The 20547-nt window shown below is 45.5% G+C and overlaps 3 protein-coding genes across 62 annotated transcripts in view, besides 4 other annotated features; 1 reads left to right on the forward strand and 2 right to left on the reverse strand.

The window, feature by feature from the left end:
- The window catches only part of HPS4 (HPS4 biogenesis of lysosomal organelles complex 3 subunit 2), a 40755-nt gene extending 40565 nt beyond the window's left edge, over positions 1-190 (reverse strand). For 21 of the 52 annotated variants that reach the window (XR_007067989.1, NR_146316.2, XR_007067988.1 and 18 more), the window contains exon 1: positions 1-110. The gene's annotated coding sequence lies outside the window, so the exon portion shown is untranslated. The other 31 variants (XR_001755364.2, XR_007067985.1, XR_007067983.1 and 28 more) reach the window with 2 other exon arrangements.
- Positions 158-277: an enhancer, noted in NCBI's record as "active region_18791". NCBI's record gives its function as "activates an Ori minimal core promoter by ATAC-STARR-seq in GM12878 lymphoblastoid cells {active_cell/tissue: GM12878}" and the evidence as "EXISTENCE:reporter gene assay evidence [ECO:0000049][PMID:35858748]".
- Positions 204-10985, forward strand: SRRD (SRR1 domain containing). Of its 3 annotated transcripts, none has more exons than XM_011530178.3 (7): positions 204-426; positions 2350-2390; positions 4310-4615; positions 4717-4815; positions 6371-6525; positions 7352-7397; positions 7790-10985. In XM_011530178.3, exons 3-7 carry the CDS (start codon positions 4319-4321, stop codon positions 7997-7999), a joined length of 807 nt encoding a protein of 268 aa, XP_011528480.1. In that variant the 5' UTR covers positions 204-426; positions 2350-2390; positions 4310-4318; the 3' UTR covers positions 8000-10985. The 3 variants fall into 3 exon arrangements, with proteins under 3 accessions (XP_011528480.1, NP_001013716.2, XP_016884288.1); NM_001013694.3 differs by having other exon boundaries at positions 4356-4615; XM_017028799.3 differs by lacking the exon at positions 6371-6525 and having other exon boundaries at positions 4356-4615.
- Positions 298-387: a silencer, noted in NCBI's record as "silent region_13569". NCBI's record gives its function as "represses an Ori minimal core promoter by ATAC-STARR-seq in GM12878 lymphoblastoid cells {active_cell/tissue: GM12878}" and the evidence as "EXISTENCE:reporter gene assay evidence [ECO:0000049][PMID:35858748]".
- TFIP11 (tuftelin interacting protein 11) overlaps positions 7567-20547 on the reverse strand; it is a 21234-nt gene continuing 8253 nt past the window's right edge. For all 7 annotated transcript variants that reach the window (NM_001346861.2, NM_001346862.2, NM_001346859.2 and 4 more), the window contains 9 exons: positions 19993-20120; positions 18227-18379; positions 15431-15958; positions 15196-15302; positions 13048-13216; positions 12400-12643; positions 11124-11266; positions 10466-10631; positions 7567-8695 (listed from right to left, as the gene is read on the reverse strand). In NM_001346861.2, coding sequence (NP_001333790.1) covers positions 8340-8695; positions 10466-10631; positions 11124-11266; positions 12400-12643; positions 13048-13216; positions 15196-15302; positions 15431-15958; positions 18227-18379; positions 19993-20120 — 1994 coding nt within the window. In that variant the 3' untranslated portion in view covers positions 7567-8339. The remainder of the gene's footprint in view (positions 8696-10465; positions 10632-11123; positions 11267-12399; positions 12644-13047; positions 13217-15195; positions 15303-15430; positions 15959-18226; positions 18380-19992; positions 20121-20547) is intronic.
- Positions 9615-10814: an enhancer, noted in NCBI's record as "MED14-independent group 3 enhancer chr22:26889254-26890453 (GRCh37/hg19 assembly coordinates)". NCBI's record gives its function as "activates an origin of replication core promoter dependent on BRD2, BRD4, P300/CBP and CDK7 cofactors, and independent of MED14, by STARR-seq in HCT116 cells {active_cell/tissue: HCT116}" and the evidence as "EXISTENCE:reporter gene assay evidence [ECO:0000049][PMID:35650434]".
- Positions 19366-19435: a silencer, noted in NCBI's record as "silent region_13570". NCBI's record gives its function as "represses an Ori minimal core promoter by ATAC-STARR-seq in GM12878 lymphoblastoid cells {active_cell/tissue: GM12878}" and the evidence as "EXISTENCE:reporter gene assay evidence [ECO:0000049][PMID:35858748]".

Raw genomic sequence — 20547 nt, forward strand, 5'->3', positions numbered from 1 at the left:
CGGAGTAGCCAGGCATCCCAGTGCTCGGGGTTCGGGACTCTGGACCAGAAATGTGGGCAGCAGCTGGGTACCTGCGACTTCTGCCCCGTACCTGCGCGCGCGGCAGAGAGGCCTTAGGTCACGCGCCGCCCCGCCTACCTCCCCCTCCAGCTCCTGGCAAGCCGGCGCGCGGCGATGACGTGCCGAGTGCGCCGCACGCCGCTGACGTCAGAGACCAATGGCTGCGGCCGCAGCTGCGGCGCTGGAATCCTGGCAGGCGGCGGCTCCGCGGAAGAGGCGCTCCGCGGCTCGACGGCCGCGGCGGAGGGAGGCGGCGCCCCGGGGGAGAGAGGCGGCGCCCCGGGGGAGAGAGGCGGCGCCCCGGGGCCCCGAGGCGGAGTTCGAGTCTGACAGCGGAGTCGTGCTTCGTCGCATCTGGGAGGCTGAGTGAGTGCAGGCTCGGCCCTGATGGAATCTTTGCGCCCATGGGCAATTCTGAGCCACAGTCTCCCCATCTGTAGAGTGGAGATATAATGCACACCCTTTAAGGAGTTATTGTGAAGAGTTAACGTAGGTAACGAGCTCATTAAAGATGTGGATTATAGTAAGCGCTCAGTTAAAGGTCGTCTTTCCTTTTATTACGGTTACAGCTGCGTGACCTTGGACAATTTATAATCTCTGTGCCTCAGTTTTCTCATCTGTGAGATGGGGATGAAAATAGTACATACGTAGGTTTGTTTTGAGGATTCAATGAATTAGTAAACGGAAACCATTTTCTGGCACGTGGTAAGCACTGTGCCAGTGTTTGCTATTAATATTATGCCGATGTTGATATTATTGGTGGTGGTGACACGAGGGAAGCAACATGAACACGTGACTGCTATCATCAGGCAGCTGCTATGTGCCTGACATTAGCTTAATCATTCTACACACTTTATGTTAAACATTGCAGGCATACTAGGACCCTGGTAGCTCACTGATTCTCAAAGAGACAAAGAAAATGTGTGGAACCAGATTTCAAACCCAGGTCTTTGTGACAAAAACCAGTGCTTCCAGCTTTCCATTATGCTTGTTGCTTATCCCAGCCCAGATTCTCACATACCTTGCTCTGTACCTTAGAAAGTACATAGAGAGTGCCTAATACAGAGGAAACACTCAATAAATGTTACTTATTATTGTTATTTAGTATTATTATCTTTATTCGCAGTTTTGTTTAGGCTCAATAAATAACAGCTTTAGTTAGCACTTAAGATCAGCATCCGAAGGGCCGTCACAAGGGGAGAAATTAGATTAATTTTGTGTGCTCCTCTCCCCTAGAATTAGGGTCAAGAGGCAGTAATGTCCCAGAGTTTACCTCTGAAGAGAAAGTTGCTGACCATTTGGCTCAGCCTGAATAAAAAGCACCTGCGATTATTTTTAAGCTCTCAGAGGATGCCAGTGAGAGTGAATGTGCCTAGGGGTTTGGAAAACTCAAGGCATTTTTCATATCCCTTGACACTGTCACGATCTCCTCAACTGCTTCAGTATTCCCCAGGAGCTCCTTGCTTCTCCCAACACCCAAGTGTGGTGCAATCACCATCGCTCTGAGTAGAGATTGAGCCAGCATTTTACACGCATATCTGTGTACGCATTTACCAGTTCATAAAGCATTCCTGTGTACATCAGAACTCTCTACCCTCTGTGAGAAACGTGCAGCAGCCTCTGGGCCGACTTTCAATTCTCTGTACTCCTTTCTGAACCCCATAATCACTGTCTCTGGCTGTGGCTTGTCAGTTTAAATCCAGTTCATTTTAATTCACTGTTGACTTTCTTTTGCTCTGGGTCTGTAAAACCAGTTGACTTGAATAAAGAAAGCCCAGACACTTGGTTTTGTCTCTTTACTTTCCCCTTAAAACTATTTATAATAACAAATACCATTTGTTGAGTACCTGCTATGTGCCAGACACTGGGCTAAGAATGTTAACCCATTTTATGCCTCTAAACTCCTCCGTGTTGGGAATGATTTTTATCCCCATTTTAGAGATGAGGAAACTAAAGCTCAGAAAGGCTAATTCTGAGCACTTAACAACCATTTATTGAGCTGCAATTCTATGCTAGGCTCTGTTGTAGACTGAGAATAGACCCAGATCTCTCTCTGGGAATCAAGGACCTCCTCCAGCATACTCTCTCCTGCAGTCTCTGAGCCCCAGCAGTATGTGCTCTGGCTCTGGACATATTCAACATATATCCCCCTCCTATCACTTGGTAAGGGTGGGCCCTGCATTGCAGGGCACCTCATTCTGTAAGCATTCAGGTCATGATCAGGAAAGTTACTGTTGGGGCAGCCCTGAGATGGGTGGGACATGACTGTGCCATTTTTTTTCTCAACAGGAAGGACCTGTTTATCTCTGATTTCTGGAGTTCAGCACTAGGTGGGTACCACTTGGCCAATGGTAGGGATTGTGGGGCAGAAAAGAGAATCAGTCCTCATTTGAGGACATTTTGCTTCACAGAGGGATAACTTGCTGGGTTCTAACGCCGCCCGCCCCTTACAGCTGTATGTCTTTTGGCACTTAATTCTGATCCTCAGTTTCTTTATCTGTGAAATGGAGATAATGTGTATATCCTATAGTTTTGAGAATTGAAGCTGTTTAGTTAAATGCTTGCCTGCTGTATACAAGGCAATAAATGTTGTCATTATTATTGCTGAAATTTATATTTATCCTGTTCCTTTTCCATGATATTACAATGTAGCCTTTTCCTCGTGCAGTGATAATCTCTTCCTAAACATAGTGTGTGGGTGGCGACATAATATTTATGCATGGAGTGGACATACCATAGGTATCATTTTTATTGTGGGACATTTAGTTTTCTTCTGTTGTTTTTCAGTTATTATTTTAGGACAGTGTCTTACTCTTCGCCTAGGCTGGAGTACAATGATGCAATCATAGTTCACTGCAACCTGTACCTCCTGAGCTCAAGTGATCCTCCCACCTACAGCTTCCCAAAGCGCTGGGATTATAGGCATGAGCCACCACAACCAGCCTTTTTAAGTTATTATACATAATTTTGCAATGAGTAACTTTATGCATAAAGCTTTTACCAAACTTAGGATGATCTTCTTAGGATATATTCCCAGAAGTAGAATTAAATGAAAGGCGGTGACCAACTTGATATCTATTGTCAAGTTATCCAGAAAATTTTCACCAATTCTTTTATCAAAATTGACCTGAAGAGCCAGTTTTTCCTGGCTTGGGGTCTTGTTTAAAGATGTCTTTGCTGCTTTTTTTTTTTTTTTTTTTTCTTTTGAGACGGAGTCTCACTGTGTCACCCAGGCTGGAGTGTAGGGGTGTGATCTCTGCTCACTGCAATTTCCACCTCCTGGGTTCAAACAATCCTCCTGCCTCAGTCTCCTGAGTAGCTGGGACTACAGGTGTGTGCCACTACCCCTGGCTAATTTTTGTATTTTTGTAGAGATGGGGTTTCACCATGTTGGCCAGACTGGTCTCGAACTCCTGACCTCAAGTGATCTGCCCACCTCGGTCTCCCAAGGTACTGGGATTACAGGTGTGAGCCACCATGCCTGGCCCTTTGCTGGTATCTTAAGTGAAAAGTTGGTATCTTATTGGAATGCACGGCTTTTTTTGTTTTGCTAAATTCAGTACCAGTACAATAAAAGGAGAGACAAGAGAACCTACCTCTACATGAGAAGACTTAAACAGAGTATAACTTTATTTTATTTTTTTGAGATGGAGTCTTGCTCTGTTGCCCAGGCTGGAATGCAGCGGTGTGATCTCGGCTAACTGCAACCTCCACCTCCCTGGTTCAAGTGATTCTTCTGCTTCAGCCTCCCAAGTAGCTGGGACTACAGCTGTGCGCCAGTACGCCTGACTAATTTTTTGTATTTTTAGTAGAGATGGGGTTTTGCCATGTTGGCCAGGCTGGTCTTGAATTCCTGACCTCAGGCGATCCACTCACCTAGGCCTCCCAAAGTGCTAGGATTACAGGCGTGAGCACCTGGTTTGTTACAACTTTAAAAGTACGCATTTCAGAGCATAGTCTACATTTACTAGGAGGGTCTTGTTAAATTAGAATGAGTTCACATTAGAGTTTTAGATGGAAACTGCCCTTGAGTGAAACCCAATTTCTGCTTGCAACATGCTCTTGGGTTTTGGGAGTCCAGGGGCCGGGACAGTTTGTCAATTGGTGGTGAATGTGACTGTATGTCCAGGCATGTTTGGGAATGAGGCTGGCAGCTTCTCTCTCTCTCTGAAGAATTGAAACCTTTTACTGCCCTGATCTCTTTCTCCCCAAATATGTGAACTTCTTTTGTGGATGATTTGGTTCACAGGGTCAGAACATGCCCTCTAACTGCATTTGGGGGCCTGCTCTTTCAGAAACCATCAATAGATGTCTCACAAAACATCTGGAACAACTGAAGGCCCCTGTGGGGACTCTTTCAGACATCTTTGGAAACCTGCATCTTGACTCATTGCCAGAGGAGTCAGATGTGGCCACTGATTCTATCCCAAGAGAGATCTTGGTCACAGGAACCTGCCATTTGAAGTGTGTGTGTTACGGCATTGGGAACTTTGCCACCTGCATCGTAGCTAGAAACCAGCTAACGTTTTTGCTGCTTTTGTTGGAAAAGTGCCAGGTACATTTTTGGATTCATTTTCATCTCCTCCTCCTCTGGTCCTATACATGGGTGCACACAGATGTTTGGGTTGAAGTAAACAACTCATTCTTCCCTTCTAGATTCCCAGAAGTCACTGTTGGGTATATGACCCTCTGTTTAGCCAACTTGAAATTGAAGTCCTTAACACCCTTGGTGTGACTGTTCTCAGTGAGAACGAGGTAAGTGGTTTAAAGGGGAGCAGACAGAACTGTAAAAATCCTGACCAGACTCACCCCAGGCCCTGCCTGTGGACACCAGCATTCTTTGCAGTGGCAGCCATTCCTCTCTTACCGCCTGCTCACTTTTGTAGTGCCTGAACGATGTAACCAGCCAATCAGTTACCTACATTTTGGCTTGTGTTGTGCCCATCAGAAAAAAATTACACAGATAGCATGAACCAGAACATGTTAGGTCTGCACCACTTTTTTGAGAATTATTTGTCTGGAAATTATGCTAACTTGGTATTTGCTGTTGCTACTGAAACATAAAAGTCTAGGTGCCTCAAGTGAGGTCTTTGTGGTTGGATTTTATCCTGTCCCAGGGAGGTAATAAAAGGGGATGCAGCATTCCTCTTTGATGCTATAACCCAGTCAAACCCATAGCACCTGGCTGTGAGTTGTGGATTAATTCTCTGCCCATGTTTGCACCCCCCAAAATAGCTGGGATTTGACATTTCTGAGACCTGTGGAATAAAGAAATGCATCCCTAAAGCACAGGGCCAAAGCCAGTATGAGCAAATCCCTCCGATTTCGGTTTTGTATTGTCTTGGGGATTAGAATCTTTTGATTCCTGTGTGTGTGCTGAAACTGCCATCTTATTGCTTATTATGTATGAAAATTTGGCTCAGTTGAGAGAAGAGTCATTCCCTGATATTGGCAAGGTCCTAAAACACTGTCACTCAGTTCAGATCATCTTTCTGGGTGCCTGTTCTGTGCTAGGCAGGGAGCTTTGGGGAGACCAAGAAAAATGGGAGCCAGTCCCTGTGTTCAGGGAGCCCATGGTCAACAAGTGAATGAGGAATGAAATACTGAGGCAGAACCTTGTACTACGACAGGTGTTCGGAGGGATGGAGGAAGGATTCCTGGGTCTGAGCTGGGCTTTGAAGGTCTACCAGGAGTTTGCTAGTGGGACAGAACCAGGATTGAAGGTAGCTGTGCAGTGCTGGCTGTTCAGGAAACCACTGCCAGTTTGTTATTAACACAAGGGAAGCTGCAAGGAGAGGAGAGGCAGGCCAGAGGTGGGCAAGGGTCAGACAAAGGGCCTTATGTTCCCTGCTGGAGTTTGGCCAGAGAGCAGTGGTTCTCAGGAGGGGTGATTGTGCCTCAGGGACATTGGAAGAGGACTTAGTTATGCAGATCTGCAGGAAGTGACATAGGAAGTGTGGATTACTGAACACAGGGGAAATACATGGGGTAAGTAACATCACTATCCCTCCTGTTCTTGCCGTCATAGACCCAGGAAGCCCCTCCATCAGTGCAGGGCTTTGTGTTCATGAGAACACAATGTGTACATTTGTTAAGTAAACATGAGTTCTTTCGGGACATCATGATTTCCTGACTCTTTAGTCCTGTAACTATAGATTTCATATACGAGTGTAACTGTTCCACAAAATGAGCTTTTTTCCTTTTGATCCTTTAGTTTGTCTCATGATTATCCCCATCCTTACCTCTCCCTCACCTTGCTGTAAAGAATAGGTTGTGGGCATGTTTACACCTGTGAATATCGTATCCCCAGGAAGGGAAACGGAGTATTCGCGGGGAGCCTACCATCTTTTACATGCTCCATTGTGGGACGGCCTTGTACAACAATCTTTTATGGAGTAACTGGTCAGTAGATGCCCTTTCTAAGATGGTCATCATTGGGAACAGTTTCAAAGGACTTGAGGAGAGGTAAGTCTGAGAATGCTGAGATTCTGTCAGGCCCTGAGGTGAAGCCCATACCTCAGATTGACCCACATGCAGAAAACATTTCCTTGACGATTCCATACTGGGGAAATGCTTTTCCACAGGGAACTGGATGAAGGCTTAAAGACAGATGTCAAATCCTGATTCGAACTATGAAGCAAGTTAAGGAGTCTTTTTGCCACGAATTCCTCCCTTCCATTATGATACACAGAAATGGTTTTGAAAACAGGGAAAAGCTATTTGATTCCTCTGCCTACAGCTCCACGTCCTCATTCTGTTTCACGTGCTTAGGAGTCTGCTCAGTCATTTCTCTTGATGAAATGGGCACAATTACTGGAATATTTGCTTTTTTTTTTTTTTTTTTTTTTGAGATGGAGTCTCACTCTGTCCCCCCGGCTGGAGTGCAGTGGTATGATCTCAGCTCACTGCAACCTCTGTCTCCTGGGTTCAAGCGATACTCCTACCTCAGCCTAATGAGTAGCTGGGATTACAGATGCACACCAGGACGCCCGGCTGATTTTTTTATTTTTAGTAGAGATGGGGTTTTACCATGTTGGCCATGCTGGTCTTGAACTCCTGACCTCAAATGATCCGCCCGCCTCAGTCTCCTGAAGTGCTGGGATTACCTGCGCCTGGCCCACATTTTCAACTATTTAACTGGTTTACTCCACATCTTGAGTTTTTTCCTGAATTCTTACTATGCTTCAATCATCTTGCCCTTCTATGTGTCTTAAAAGTTGAATGAAACTATCCTCATACCTCCTAATCATGGTGTTTTTTTTTTGTTTTTTTGGTTTTTTTTAATTTCTAGGTTGTTGGCAAGGATTCTGCAGAAAAATTATCCCTACATTGCAAAGGTATCTATCTGAATAAAGGGGCTGGGATGGAAAAGGGTGTGAAACTGTGAAGAATTCTATCTTTCTTTACAGGCGTAGGAGGAAACTCATGGGCTAAGTGGCGCTAGTGTACTGTCAGCTCTCTCCATGGGTCTGTGTTCCAGAAAGCTATGACTCTTTAATGCATCTCTTAGTTTTTTCCTTATTTCCTTTATTCTTAGTATCACAGTCCATGATATCCACTGTCCTTGGGGCGCCCAATTCATTGTGCAAAAGCATTTAAATCAAAATACCCTATTTGTTATTTTTTTAAAAAGTAAAGTGGGGATGACAAGTAAAGTGGAAATTTATCCCAGAAGAGTGGGGATTACTGTGACTATCTGAAGTTTTTATACTTGAATTTTTCTGCTCAGATTTTAAAAGGACTGGAGGAGCTTGAGTTTCCTCAGACTTCACAATACATGGACATATTTAATGATACCTCTGTCCACTGGTTCCCTGTGCAAAAGCTAGAACAGCTCTCCATAGATATTTGGGAGTTTCGGGAAGAACCAGATTATCAGGACTGTGAGGACCTTGAAATCATCAGGAACAAGAGAGAAGATCCTTCTGCTACTGACTGAACTCGTTGTGAGGTACTCAGTGTTGGCTGAGGTAGAAGCTGCCACCAGAGACTAAAGGGAAGGCTGCTATGGAGGAACTACAGAGAACTCCTTTGCCAGGAAAGAACATCAACTTGGCTGTCCTGTTTTGAGGACGATACCCCACATGAGGACTTGGTATAAAGATTCCTGCCCTACGTGGCATTGTCCCATTTTACATCCTTCCCTCATGACCTGGCCTGATGTGGAGTAGCTCCTGAGTAAAGAAGTTACCCTTTTGAAGGTGATCTAAAAATACTGTTTATTTACAGTACATCCCTCTTAGGGGCAAGTCTCTGACTGGTTCTGGACCTGCCACAGTTCACTTGGCCATGTCGATCAGGCTCTGCAGTGAGGTGGGCACCCACGTCTTCTCGCCCTGGACAAAGACCACTCCCCGGTCGATGTAGATCACAATGCGGCCAAAGGTGTAGAGCTGCTTCCCTTCGTGTCGCTTCCCAATGACGGGCATGAAGACAATGTTGTGCTCCTCAGCCTTGGTCTCAATGAGGTCCTTAAAGTTCATGGGCACAGAGCTAGCGGCCACGCCAATGCCCCTCTGAGCCATGTTCTCAGCCTCCCGCCTCTCCTGCATGGCCTCGTACTGGAAGTCCTTCCTCCGCTCCGTGTGGGTGAGATAGGCAATGTTCTCCCGTGCTCCTGGCTGCATGTAGGCACCTAAGATACAGGAGGACAGGGCGGTGAGGAGAGGTGTTTCCAGGTGTATGGAAGTTGACACTGTGGCTTGGCCCAGGTCTTGGGTGTGCCAGAGTGCTTGTGACTCACTGAAGGGCAGCTCTGCCTCAAAGATACAACTTTGGAGGAAGTTTAGACGACTGGCCAGTATCACATAAAAACTGTTCAGAAGGTTCCTGGCTAGTATCTAGTAACCAGATTATTAATATTCAACATTTTAAAATGAAGTATCTGCAAGGGATTTCTTCCTTCAGAGCTGGAAACATTAACAGAGAGTCCTCAGCCACTCTTCTGTTCCCACCTTGCTCTGTAGAGTTTCCATTTCCCACCACCAAAGAGGCAGCTTTTAGTACCTTGAAAACATAGGGCCCATACTGGCTTTATTTTTAACCTACCCACACAGGGCCCCCATCCTGAAAGAAGTTCACATATATTTAGGGAGCTGAAATGAGTGTTTAAAGGATAATACCAAGACCATAAATGCTAAGTGCTAATTGAGGGGTATATTCAGGGAACAGTTTTGGAAACATGAGGCCAAGGGTAGCTAAGGAAGAGTTTTTAGAAAAAACTTGATAATTACAGAAGCAGAGAAGTATATTTGCCTTATTACTTAATCTCTGTTTTCACAGAATAGGCTATTTTTCTTTTTTTTTTTTTGAGACCGAGTCTCGCTCTTGTCACCTAGGCTGGAGTGCAGTGCTTGCAATCTCGGCTCACTACAACCTCTGCCTCCCAGGTTTAAGCGATTCTTCTGCCTCAGCCTCCTAAGTAGCTGGCATTACAGGCATGTGCCACCGCGCCCGGCTAATTTTTGCATTTTTAGTAGAGACGGGGTTTCACCATGTTGGTCAGGCTGGTCTCGAACTCCTGACCTCGTGATCTACCCGCCTCGGCCTCCCAAAGTGCTAGGATTACAGGCGTGAGCCACCGTGCCTGGCCTAGGCTATTAAATAACAAGAATTAAAGACTCAGGAAATAGAAATTCCAGTTCTAACTGCCACCCTTTAACTATGTGACCTTGAACAGGCTCTCAGCCTCGCTGGGCTTATCTGTAAAACACAGACTAGACGATCCCATTTCAATGCTGCGAATCGGCTAATGAGCAACACTGGAGCACAGGACTGGTTGAAATAGGCTCCCAAATGTAGAAACATAAATATACTCTCACTTACTTATGATCTAGGCAGAATGACTTACCTAGAACTTGGGAACAGATATAGTACACGAACAGTGAACTGCCTGTTTTTGACAACACAGACACCACCTATTGAAGGCTATACACAAGCATGAACTCACTCTCCCTTTTAGCCTATAAAGTAGATCTTACTGTTTAACAGGTAAAATGGGGCTGATTAAGGCTGAGCAATCACCAAGTGTCAGACCGCGTGCCAAACTCCACACTGTAAGATGCGTCACCTAAGCAGCATGCTCAGGCATGAATGAGCCTTAAAAGGCCACACAGCACAGTGGTTAAGAGGGCGGGGCCTGGGGTTAGACTGACATCATCTGAATCCAGCTTAAGTCAGTCTCCACTCAGGGAAGATGCCCCTCTCAGTCATGGTAGACCTGGGCAGTGGGTGCCAGCTGACCATGTACCCCAGTCAGCAGGGTGAGAGTCTGTTGCTATGTGCAAAAGTGTGACCTAAGGTTTAGGCTGCCTACAGGAACCAGAAAACTCTGATTCTGTGTCATTTACATGTGTAAAATCTGAAACTTGGGGCCAGGACATCCAAAATGGGAATCCTCACTTACCAACGTTGGAGGACACCGCCCGGTTCATGATATCAAGTGCCTCATTAAATTTGTCCTTGACAGATGGATGTGCCAGCACTTGGTCTGAGAACATCGACTTCCAACCCAGGTACCACTTGGTGATCTCCTCATAATTTGGGCTGTTACTGAGCCAAGAGCACAGCACCTGCCAAAAAGAAAAATTACTTGCATCCATCGTGGCAACAAATGAAGGCAAGATTTCTGAAGTGGCCATTTGTTTTGTTTTGATCCTGGTCCTACAGGCTAGTGACACTACTTTACAGGGATTTATAGTAGCTAAACAGTCTAGCACTTATGAATATGGATTTTGGAGTCAGCCTGGTAGCTAAAGTGCCCTTGCATGTAAACTCTCTGAGCCTCAGCTTCCATGTCTACACAACAGGGATACCATATCCCCTACCCCATAGGGTTGCTGAGAGGAGCTGAGATAAAGCAAATAAAGTGCTTGGAACAGCTTCTGATACATGGCAAATGTCCAATAAATGGTGCCCACTATGAAGATGACCTAACTCATTCCTACCCTACCATGTAATTTATTTTCATTATGGAATTGTACCTACAGTCAGGCCTTGGCAGAAAATTAACTTAATCCCCACCCAGTTCCCTCCCCCAGAAATCCAAGCAAAACAAAGTGTACCTGAAGCCACTTGGGGAAGAAGTGCTTTTCAAGAAGTCCCACCAGGCTAGAGACAGAGATCATCCCTTCCCAGTCAATCACCCAATAGAATGCATCCATGTGCTGCTGGTGGGGGTTAATGACTAGCTCACCAAGACACATCCCTGGAAGAGAAACCCGGTCTGTAAGGCACAGCTTTAGTACTGGCAAAGCCAAAGAAGCACAAAGAGCAAAGACAATGTCCGTTTTCATCTCAGCTTACAGCAACCTCCGCCTCCCGGGTTCAAGTGACTCTTGTGCCTCAGCCTCCCGAGTAGCTGGGAGTACAGGTGTGCACCACCGTGGCCAACTAATTTTTGTGTTTTTATTAGAGACAGCGTTTTGGCATGTTGCCCAGGCTGGTCTCAAACTCCTGGTCTCAGGTGATCTGCCCACCTCAGCCTCCCAAAGGGCTGGGATTACAGGCATAAGTCACAACTCCTGGCTTTTTTTTTTTTTTTTTTTTTTTTTTTTTTTTTTTGTTGAGACAGGGTCTCACTGTTGCCCAGGCTGAAGTGCAATGGCAGATCTTGGCTCACTGCAACCTCTGCCTCCGAGGTTCAAGCCATCCTCCCGCCTCAGCCTCCCTAGTAGCTGGGACGACAGGCGCCCGCCACCACACCTGGCTGGTTTGTATTTTTGGTAGAGATGGGGTTTCACCATGTTGCTCAGGCTGTAATCTGCTTTTAAAGGTCAAATTTAAGCTCCCGACATAGCGATTCTTAAAATATATATGTGTATATATATACACATATATATATGTGTGTGTGTGTATACATATATACATATATATGTGTGTATATACATATATGTGTATATACATGTGTATATATACATGTATATGCATGTGTGTATATATATACATATATGTGTGTGTGTGTGTGTGTATGTATATATATTTTTTTTGCTAACCTGGAAATAACTCCCTAATAATTTAGAGTAAAATACCACAAAAATTTTAGAACTCCAATGGCTGTCCTATTACCAGAAGCCAAAACCAATCGGGAAAACCACAAGGCACAGAGTCCGATATTGTCACTGTCGACTATTAGTGACTGTTGTAAATAAACAGCGGAAAGGACCCAAGTTACATTTATGTTCAGCCTCTGAACAAAATGTTACCTTTTTCACAGCAAGGAATATTGTGTACTAAGCACTTTCATGAACATAAAGGCGATGCTTTAAATCATCACTGCTAACCACAGAAACCAGGGCACCAAAGCTGCTGGGCTTGGAATGCATTTCCCCTTATCCTTACCCAGCTTGGGCACTATGTTTTTGACCATGAATGCTTCCCAGGAGCCAGGAGTGAAGACATCCTTCCAGGGCTGGAGGATGAGCTTGGCAGAGGAGTCGCTGGGGTGCCACTTCTGCAGGGCGCTGGACAGCTTACTACGGATGGGGGAATAGAGTGGCTCCAGCCGTGCCTGCATAAGGGGCAGCCATGGGTGGATCCAAGAGTGGATGGGAACAGTGTCTGTGAGCGGGTTCCAGTTTTCCACCTGCGAAGTGGGGAGGAGAAACAGTTCATGTCGCCTGTGGGGCAGTCACATAACACCCCTGTGTGGCTAAAGGCAAGAGCTGCCCCTGGAGGAGGCCCTGTGCTCTCTGAGGCCCACAGTCCTTTGTACATTGCCAAACAAATATGCCCATCCATTTGATTACATCTCAGAAACAGCACAATTCTAATTTTAGTGACAAAATCAAGAAAATGAATTCCCTCCTGAGGGTGGCTTGGGGGAAAAAGTGCTGAGAAAAAGGCTGGAATTAACACTATAGGTCAATAGTTGTGTTGACAAATTCCGTTAATTCCAGGCGTTTTAACAGCACTGAGATAATGAAGCCACAGACTGAACAAGTCCCTGTGATTAGTGATGACGACTGTTTCCCATGACTCTCATCCCACCTCCTTTTGCAGCTTGGGGAAGATGAGTTGGTCCAGTATGTTATCTAAGATCCACACAGGAATAATGTGCACCCAACTATCCAAAAAGTCCACCATCGGGTCACAGTTCCTTGGCTGCCACTGGGTGACAATATTTCGAACAAAAGGCATCCAGACTTCCCATATCAACCTATGGGAGAAAGGCAGAGGACAGGCTGGTTAATTACACTGACTGGTTTCAAAGTACACCACCACCACCTGCCTCTCTAGAATCAGGAATAAAAATGCAACAGCATGGAAATCCAATCAGAGGAAACCATCAGGCCAGTCACCATACTGGCCAGACTGAGCCTGCCTCTTCCTTGTTCTCTTGACTCTCCTCTCAATCTGAGGCCTCAGTCTCCTAGGTAGTGCCCATCCACCTGGCAGAGCTGCTTTAGGGTCACAAGGGCCTCTTCCCAGGTATCAAGTGCTTTCCCACCTATAGGCTTCTATTCATGAGCTGATGCCTCTCACCCTCTTATCACAATTTCAACGTCACCTCCCCTAAGACCTCTGTGCCAACCCCCGTTCCAAGTAGGTTGCTCCTGCAGTTCTCTATCGCTGTACCTGGTGTGCATCCTGCCTTTATTTGTTCACTACCTTACTTCCCATCTGCTTTTTTTGCTGTACTGTAGACAGAGGCTGTCTGCTGTGCTCCTAGGGTAAGCCCAGCACCTAGCACAAGCATGATACGCAACAGACATTTGACAAGTGTCAGCTGAATTCATGGCCAAATGTAATTGTACAACCACTATGGAAAACAGTGTGGAGATTCCTTAGAGAACTAAAAGTACAACTACCATTTGATCCAGCAATCCCACTACTGGGTATCTACCCAGAGGAAAAGAAGTCATGGCTGGGCACGGAGGCTCACGCCTGTAATTCCAGCACTCTGGGAGGCCAAGGCAGGCGGATCACGAGGTCAAGAGATCGAGACCATCCTGGCCAACATGGTGAAACCCTGTCTCTACTAAAAATACAAAAATTAGCTGGGCATGGTGGCGAGCGCCTGTAGTCCCAGCTACTCGAGAGGCTGAGGCAGGAGAATCGCTTGAACCCGGGAGGCAGAGGTTGCAGTGAGCCGAGATCGTGCCACTGCACTCCAGCCTGGCGACAAAGCAAGACTTCATCTCAAAAAAAAAAAAAAAAAAAAGTCATATACGAGAAAGATACTTGCTCACACAAATTTACAGCAGCACAATTCGCAGTTGCAAATATGTGGAACCAACCCAAATGCCCACCAATCAACAAGTGGATAAAGAAACTGTGGTATAAATATAATGGAATATGACTCAGCCATAAAAAGGAATGAAATAATGGCATTCGCAGCAAGTTGGTTGGAATTGGAGACTATTATTCTAAGTGAAGTAACTCAAGAATGGAAAACCAAACATCTTATGTTCTCACTTATAAGTGGAAGCTAAGTTATGAGGATGCAAAGGCATAAGAATGACACAATGGACTTTGGGGACTCGGGGAAAGGATGGGAAGGGGGTGAGGGATAAAAGACTACAAATTGAACCAGGCACGGTGGCTCACGCCTGGAATCCCAGCATTTTTTTGGAGGCCAAGGCGGGTGGATCACGAGGTCAGGAGATTGAGATCATTCTGGCCAACATGGTGAAACCCTGTCTCTACTAAAAATACAAAAATTAGCTGGGCGTGGTGGCGTGTGCCTGTGATCCCAGCTACTTGGGAGGCTGAGGCAGGAGAATCGCTTGAACCAGGCAGTTGGCGGTTGCAGTGAGCTGCGATCACGCCACTGCACTCCAGCCTGGTGACAGAGTGAGACTCCATCTCAAAAAAAAAAAAAAAAAAAAGACTACAAATTGGATTCAATGTATACTTCTCAGGAGATGGGTACACCAAAATCTCACAAATCACCACTAAAGAACTTACTCATGTAACCAAATACTACCTGTTCCCCAAACCCTATGGAAATAAAACATTTCAAAAAAATTAAAAAAAAAAAATTCATAGCCAAATGAATTTAAATTCCTAAAGCACTGTCAGCATGAGCAGAGAATTAATCAAGGCCAGCACTGCTGCCTTCCCCCACCTTCAGCAATCCTTCCCAACCCCCCAGGAGAAAGGAGCTGGGGTACAGAGCCCTGCTCTGTGGTGTACCTGTGAAAGGCATCTGCTGAGAGGTCCTGTCCGCCATGGGACAAGAGCTGGTCATTCTCTAGGAGGCTTTTCCACTTAGAGATGATCTCGGTGCCATAAGTGCAGTCCTGAGGAGAAAGGTGAGCAGTTGAGGGGCAGCGGGCTCTCCAGCCCTCCCTGCCCATTGAACCAACTCATCAAGCAAGGGTAAGCCCAACCGAGAGGCAGGGATAGGTTGATTTTCCCAGCAACTCACTTTGAGGGGATCCCACTCCTTGAAGTACTCCTTCATGAGTGGATAGACGATGGCCACAGCAAGGTCCACACGGTCGGACATCCTGTACTCCTCATAGTACTTGTCCTGCAGGGTTTCGAAGATGCGGGCACACTCGTCCAGGGTGAGGGGGTTGCTGCAGTCGGGCTGCATCCGCCGCTCGCACTCCTCCACCATCTCCAGGACCTTGCTGAGGTTCGAGATGACCCGCTCCTCGTGGTCCAGGACCTCGGTCATCTTCTCCAGCTCGTGGAAGAGGTTGACCACCATGTCCCGCTCATACTGTAGCTGCCGGTCATTCTGGATGATCTCCTGCTCCGTGAGGTCGATGAGCAGCTGCAGGTTGTGCTCCAGCTCGGGCAGCGCGAAGCCGGGGGCCTTGGCCTCTTTGCCAGACTGTGGCAGCTGTTGGGACTGTAGCGGCAGCCCATCATCGGGAACGTTGTGCTTGTGGCTGATCTGACTGTAGCTGTAGTAGACCTTCTGCTCCCGGCCTGTCATGTCTATGACCTTGGAAAACATAGAGGGATGAAGGTTAACACCGCTGCAGCCCTGTTAAACACACAGCTAAGCCCAGGGGAAGGCCCCATGACAGGGGAAGTGTGTAGAAACCACATTATTCAACAGAGCTGGAGAAGGGCAGTGTTGTAAAGTGGGAACCATACTGTCCTAGCCTAAAGGAGACTCCAGGGACAAAATCAGATGCAGCAAGCAGTTCTAGGTTGGATCACTGTGAACAAGCCAGATGGAGAAGACTTTTTAGGGAAACATGAAATTTAAATAGGGACTGAGTATTAGTAGATGTGAAAATTTATTTTAATGGAAAGGTAGAAGCTGTACTGATCAAAGAAGGTAACATACAATCAGAATATCACATTTTGATTTAAAAAATGCACATAAGCATAGAAAAAGATCTAGGATGTATAACAAGATGTTAACATTTGGTAATCTTGGAAGGATGGAAAATATTTTCTACATTTTTGCCTATTTCCTAATTTTCTAAAATGTACTACACACTGCTGTGTAATAACAAAGTTTTTTTAAATTTAATTTATTTATTTATTTTGAGACAGAATCTCGCTCTGTTGCCCAGGCTGGAATGCAGTGGCACGATCTCAGCTCACTGCAAGCTCCGCCTCCTGGGTTTAAGCCATTCTCCTGCCTCAGCCTCCCAAGTAGCTGGGACTACAGGCGCCCGTCACTACACTTGGCTAATTTTTTGTATTTTTAGTAGGGATGGGGTTTCACTGTGTTAGCCAGGAAGGTCTCAATCTCCTGACCTTGTGATCCGCCTGCCTCAGCCTCCCAAAATGCTGGGATTACAGGCATGAGCCACTGCGCCCAGCCTTTTAATTTTAAAACAAAATAAAATATACAAAAGGCTAACTGAACAAAGGCAACCTAGACAATGAGCTAATTCCAATATTTTAGGAAAACAGGAAATGTGAATACGGACTACACTTCTGAAACAGAATGATTCATCACCACTTTTTAAGTAAGAGTGTGATCCATGAACCACCAGCTTTAGACTCACTGGAGGAAAAAAAAAAAAAGAGTCCTGAGGTTCAGTCTAGACTCAATTCCTGGGAGGCACCTAGACACTCTTATTTCTTATCAGGTCGTCCAGATAACAGCACGTTTGAGAACCCCACTAAAGGCTTTCTTTGAGGTCTATGACACACTACATATCCTACAGCAAATGACAACAGGCAACTGTCACCACTGTTCTTTGACTACTTGGAAAAGTAACGGAAAACTTTTTTTTTTTTTTTTTTTTTTTGAGACGGAGTCTCGCTCTGTCCCCCAGGCTGGAGTGCAGTGGCACGATTTCCGCTCACTGCAAGCTCCGCCTCCTGAGTAAATGCCATTCTCCTGCCTCAGCCTCCCGAGTAGCTGGGACTACAGGCGCCCACCATCACATCCGGCTAATTTTTTGTATTTTTAGTAGAGACGGGGTTTCACCATGTTACAGGACGGTCTCGATCTCCTGACCTTGTGATCTGCCCGCCTAGGCCTCCCAAAGTGCTGGGATTACAGGCGTGAGCCACCATCCCCAGCCAAGTAATGGAAAACTTAATACACTACATGGACGTAACAGTGGCTGAAAATTTAATCTATCTTAAAAAAAGAAAATACTCAATGCTGGCTAAGGAGCCCTGGGGACTCTCTCCTGCCCTCCTGGTCAGAGAGAGTTAATACAACCTTCTGAGTATTTAAATGCCTTAAGTACTTTTGTATTCAACATGGTGATTGCACATGTACATGTCTATCCTTAAAAAATGTCTGAAACAAAGACAAAGTTTTATATACAAACTAACCAGCCAAAAACCCAAACTAAACCAGATAAAAGCTAAATGTCTAACAACGGAGGTAGGATCAAATAATACAGCACAGCCACTCTCTGGAATTACGTGCTCATTATAAACACTTTGCACTGAGTTTTTAATAACAAGAATGTTATTAAATTCACTGATGTAAGCTCCAGAAACACAGGAACATCATTTGGTTTACCAGTGTAGTGCCGTGAAGAGTGCCTAGCAGAGAAGGAACTTGGTAACTATTACTAAATATGGGAGTGTAATGAATAGGAACATGATATTAATACTATGTGAGCATGTTCCTATTCATTACACTCCTATAAATAAGTGAGAAAAGCAAGGTACCAAAAAAAAAAAAAAAAAAAAAAGCCTAGCTAAAAGATCCAAAAAACCCTCGAACATGTTCAGTGATTATTTCTGGGGTGTGGATCCTGTACCAGGTGTCCAAGGGCCCCTGTACCTTGACTTGAGAAAGTTCCTTCTGGGGAGCAGTGAGCTTCTTGCTAATCCTGCCCTTGGCCTTCAACTCTTCCACGGTCTTGTAAGAGTATTTGGGCTTCTTCTTGCTTCCACTTGGGTCTTTCCTCCACTGGCTCAGCTCCTTCTGAAACTCCTGAACCAGAAGAATACAGTCAGATGCAGCAAGGAACAACCACTTTTTACCACAGGTGAGGTAGCTGAGACCATTAGCAGATGTCACCATTCACTGTCTTAGATTTATTTACAAGCTCTATATGAAGGAAGGAAAGGATGCACCTGCAAGACACCAAAACTATCTAATGATACTCCTTGACCCCATTCGCCCTCTTACAAATAATGAGGTTCAGAAGGCAGGTACACCAGATGGGAGGGAGAAACAAAAATAAAGATAAACGAAACAACATTTATTGAGCATCTACTATGGGCAGGCACTATACTACTTTTAAATGTACCTCATGTAAAACTTAGAAATGCAATGTAAAGGATTTTTTAAGCACACAAAACCTTGTTTCTAACTTTAAAATGAAGATAAATAAGCAGGCCCTAACTCTCAAAGCAAAGGTGTCTCTTACAATCAGGGTCTGCAAAACCTTTCTAGAGGAGGAGCTAAGGCAAGCTTGTCCAACCCGCAGCCCAGGACGGCTCTGAATACGGCCTGTTTACGAACACAAATTTGTAAACTTTCTTAGTGTGACGGTAGTAAAGTCCAGCCCACAGAAGTTGGTTTTGGGGTTGTCACTATGTTTTTCTCATACTGGTTAAGACTTGTCATTTTTTCTCTAAAAGTATCTAGACATCTGGCTACTTTGGGAAAATCAGAGGATCAGGCAATACTGAGCCCACATCCTCATAAGCAACAATCACCTAGAGCTGAATAAAGATTTACCTTCTAGACAGACTACAGCCTCACCTCTGTGCCACAGTCCCCACCACTCTTTATTGTCTAGCACCTGGCTCATCTTACTTGCTTCTGTGGTGTGCCTGGCACCTGTAGGCTTCTGAGAACACCTGACTCACAGTGGTCAATCCCACATTTATCAAATAACTCTTTCATGAAAAGGTCAGTGACATGAAGAGTAACATGTCTCTTTGCAGCATCCTGCTTTCCCCCATAAATTCAAACAGGAAAAGAGTAATACTTCAATCAAGAGAGCTGGCCCTTTCTATCACTGGGGAAAAGGGACACACAGCTGCCAGCAGATGGCTCCCTGCTGCACTTGGGATGAAACCTGAGCACCTAAAAATGGCTGTCATGGCTGTCTTGTGGACCACCCACCCCTCTGAATGCACTTCCTTCCCCTCTGCTTTGTGTACCGCCCTCCCACCGCAAGGGCTTCCTTTATGGTTTCTTAACCACCAAGCTCAGAGCCTCTCAGTGTCCTCTGGCTTGTCAGCTCACCCTTCTGCCAAGTCTCAACTGAAATGTTTCCTTTCCCAAAAGGTTTCCCTGACCAGCCTATTTATAAAAGTAGGTCAACACCACCTCCCAACCCCCAGCCTTATTTTCTGTCTAGGCAGCTCCTGGCACCTTCTGCCATTTCAACTGCCACTTCCACACCACAGCTGCTTGTTTACTCTCTGTCCACCCTAGCCCTCTCATCATGGTGCACCTAGCCTTCAGCCCAGTACCTGGCATACGGTACATGTACAATAAACATCTGAGGACTAACAGAATGAAGGGATAAATGAACAGCCATTAGAAATGGACAGGACACCATCCACCCATGTCTCCTGACTTCCAGTTACCTCTTCAGCTTCTTCCTCTGAGTCAACCACAGGGAAGTCTTGCATGGACTGAGTGGTGCGCTCGGATCCATAAGCCCCCACAGCACCTTTTCCCTTTCTCTGCTTGGCTTCAATTGGGTTAATGATACCTGAGGAATTTCAGCAAAAAAAAAAGAGAGTCTTACGATCACAGCAATTCATGTATGTGAATCAGCCACTCAGTGAAATGACAGTTTCTTGCTCCTTCCACAAAATAACATGCTACTCAGGAAGGAGAGCTATTCTCTGCCCTCAGAACACTACTCTTGTCCCTTGTGATTTGAAACTTATGAGCATTTATGCTACCACAGAACAGTCTGCTGACTAGTTTATTTATATCCCAAATAGATTTCCATTTCCACTTGGATTGTTTAGTGGACAGGAAGAAAACAGAACACTACATTTATAACTGAGAACTCCAGCACACTAAATTCTATGCTTCACTTCTTTGGGAGCCTCTATTAGGGAAAATGCAATAATTCCAATACTATACTGATTCTGACTGAAGTGAAGCTGCAATTTAATATAAGACTCCTC

The sequence above is a fragment of the Homo sapiens genome, chromosome 22 (assembly GCF_000001405.40).
Source record: "Homo sapiens chromosome 22, GRCh38.p14 Primary Assembly".
Lineage (NCBI taxonomy): Eukaryota > Metazoa > Chordata > Mammalia > Primates > Hominidae > Homo > Homo sapiens.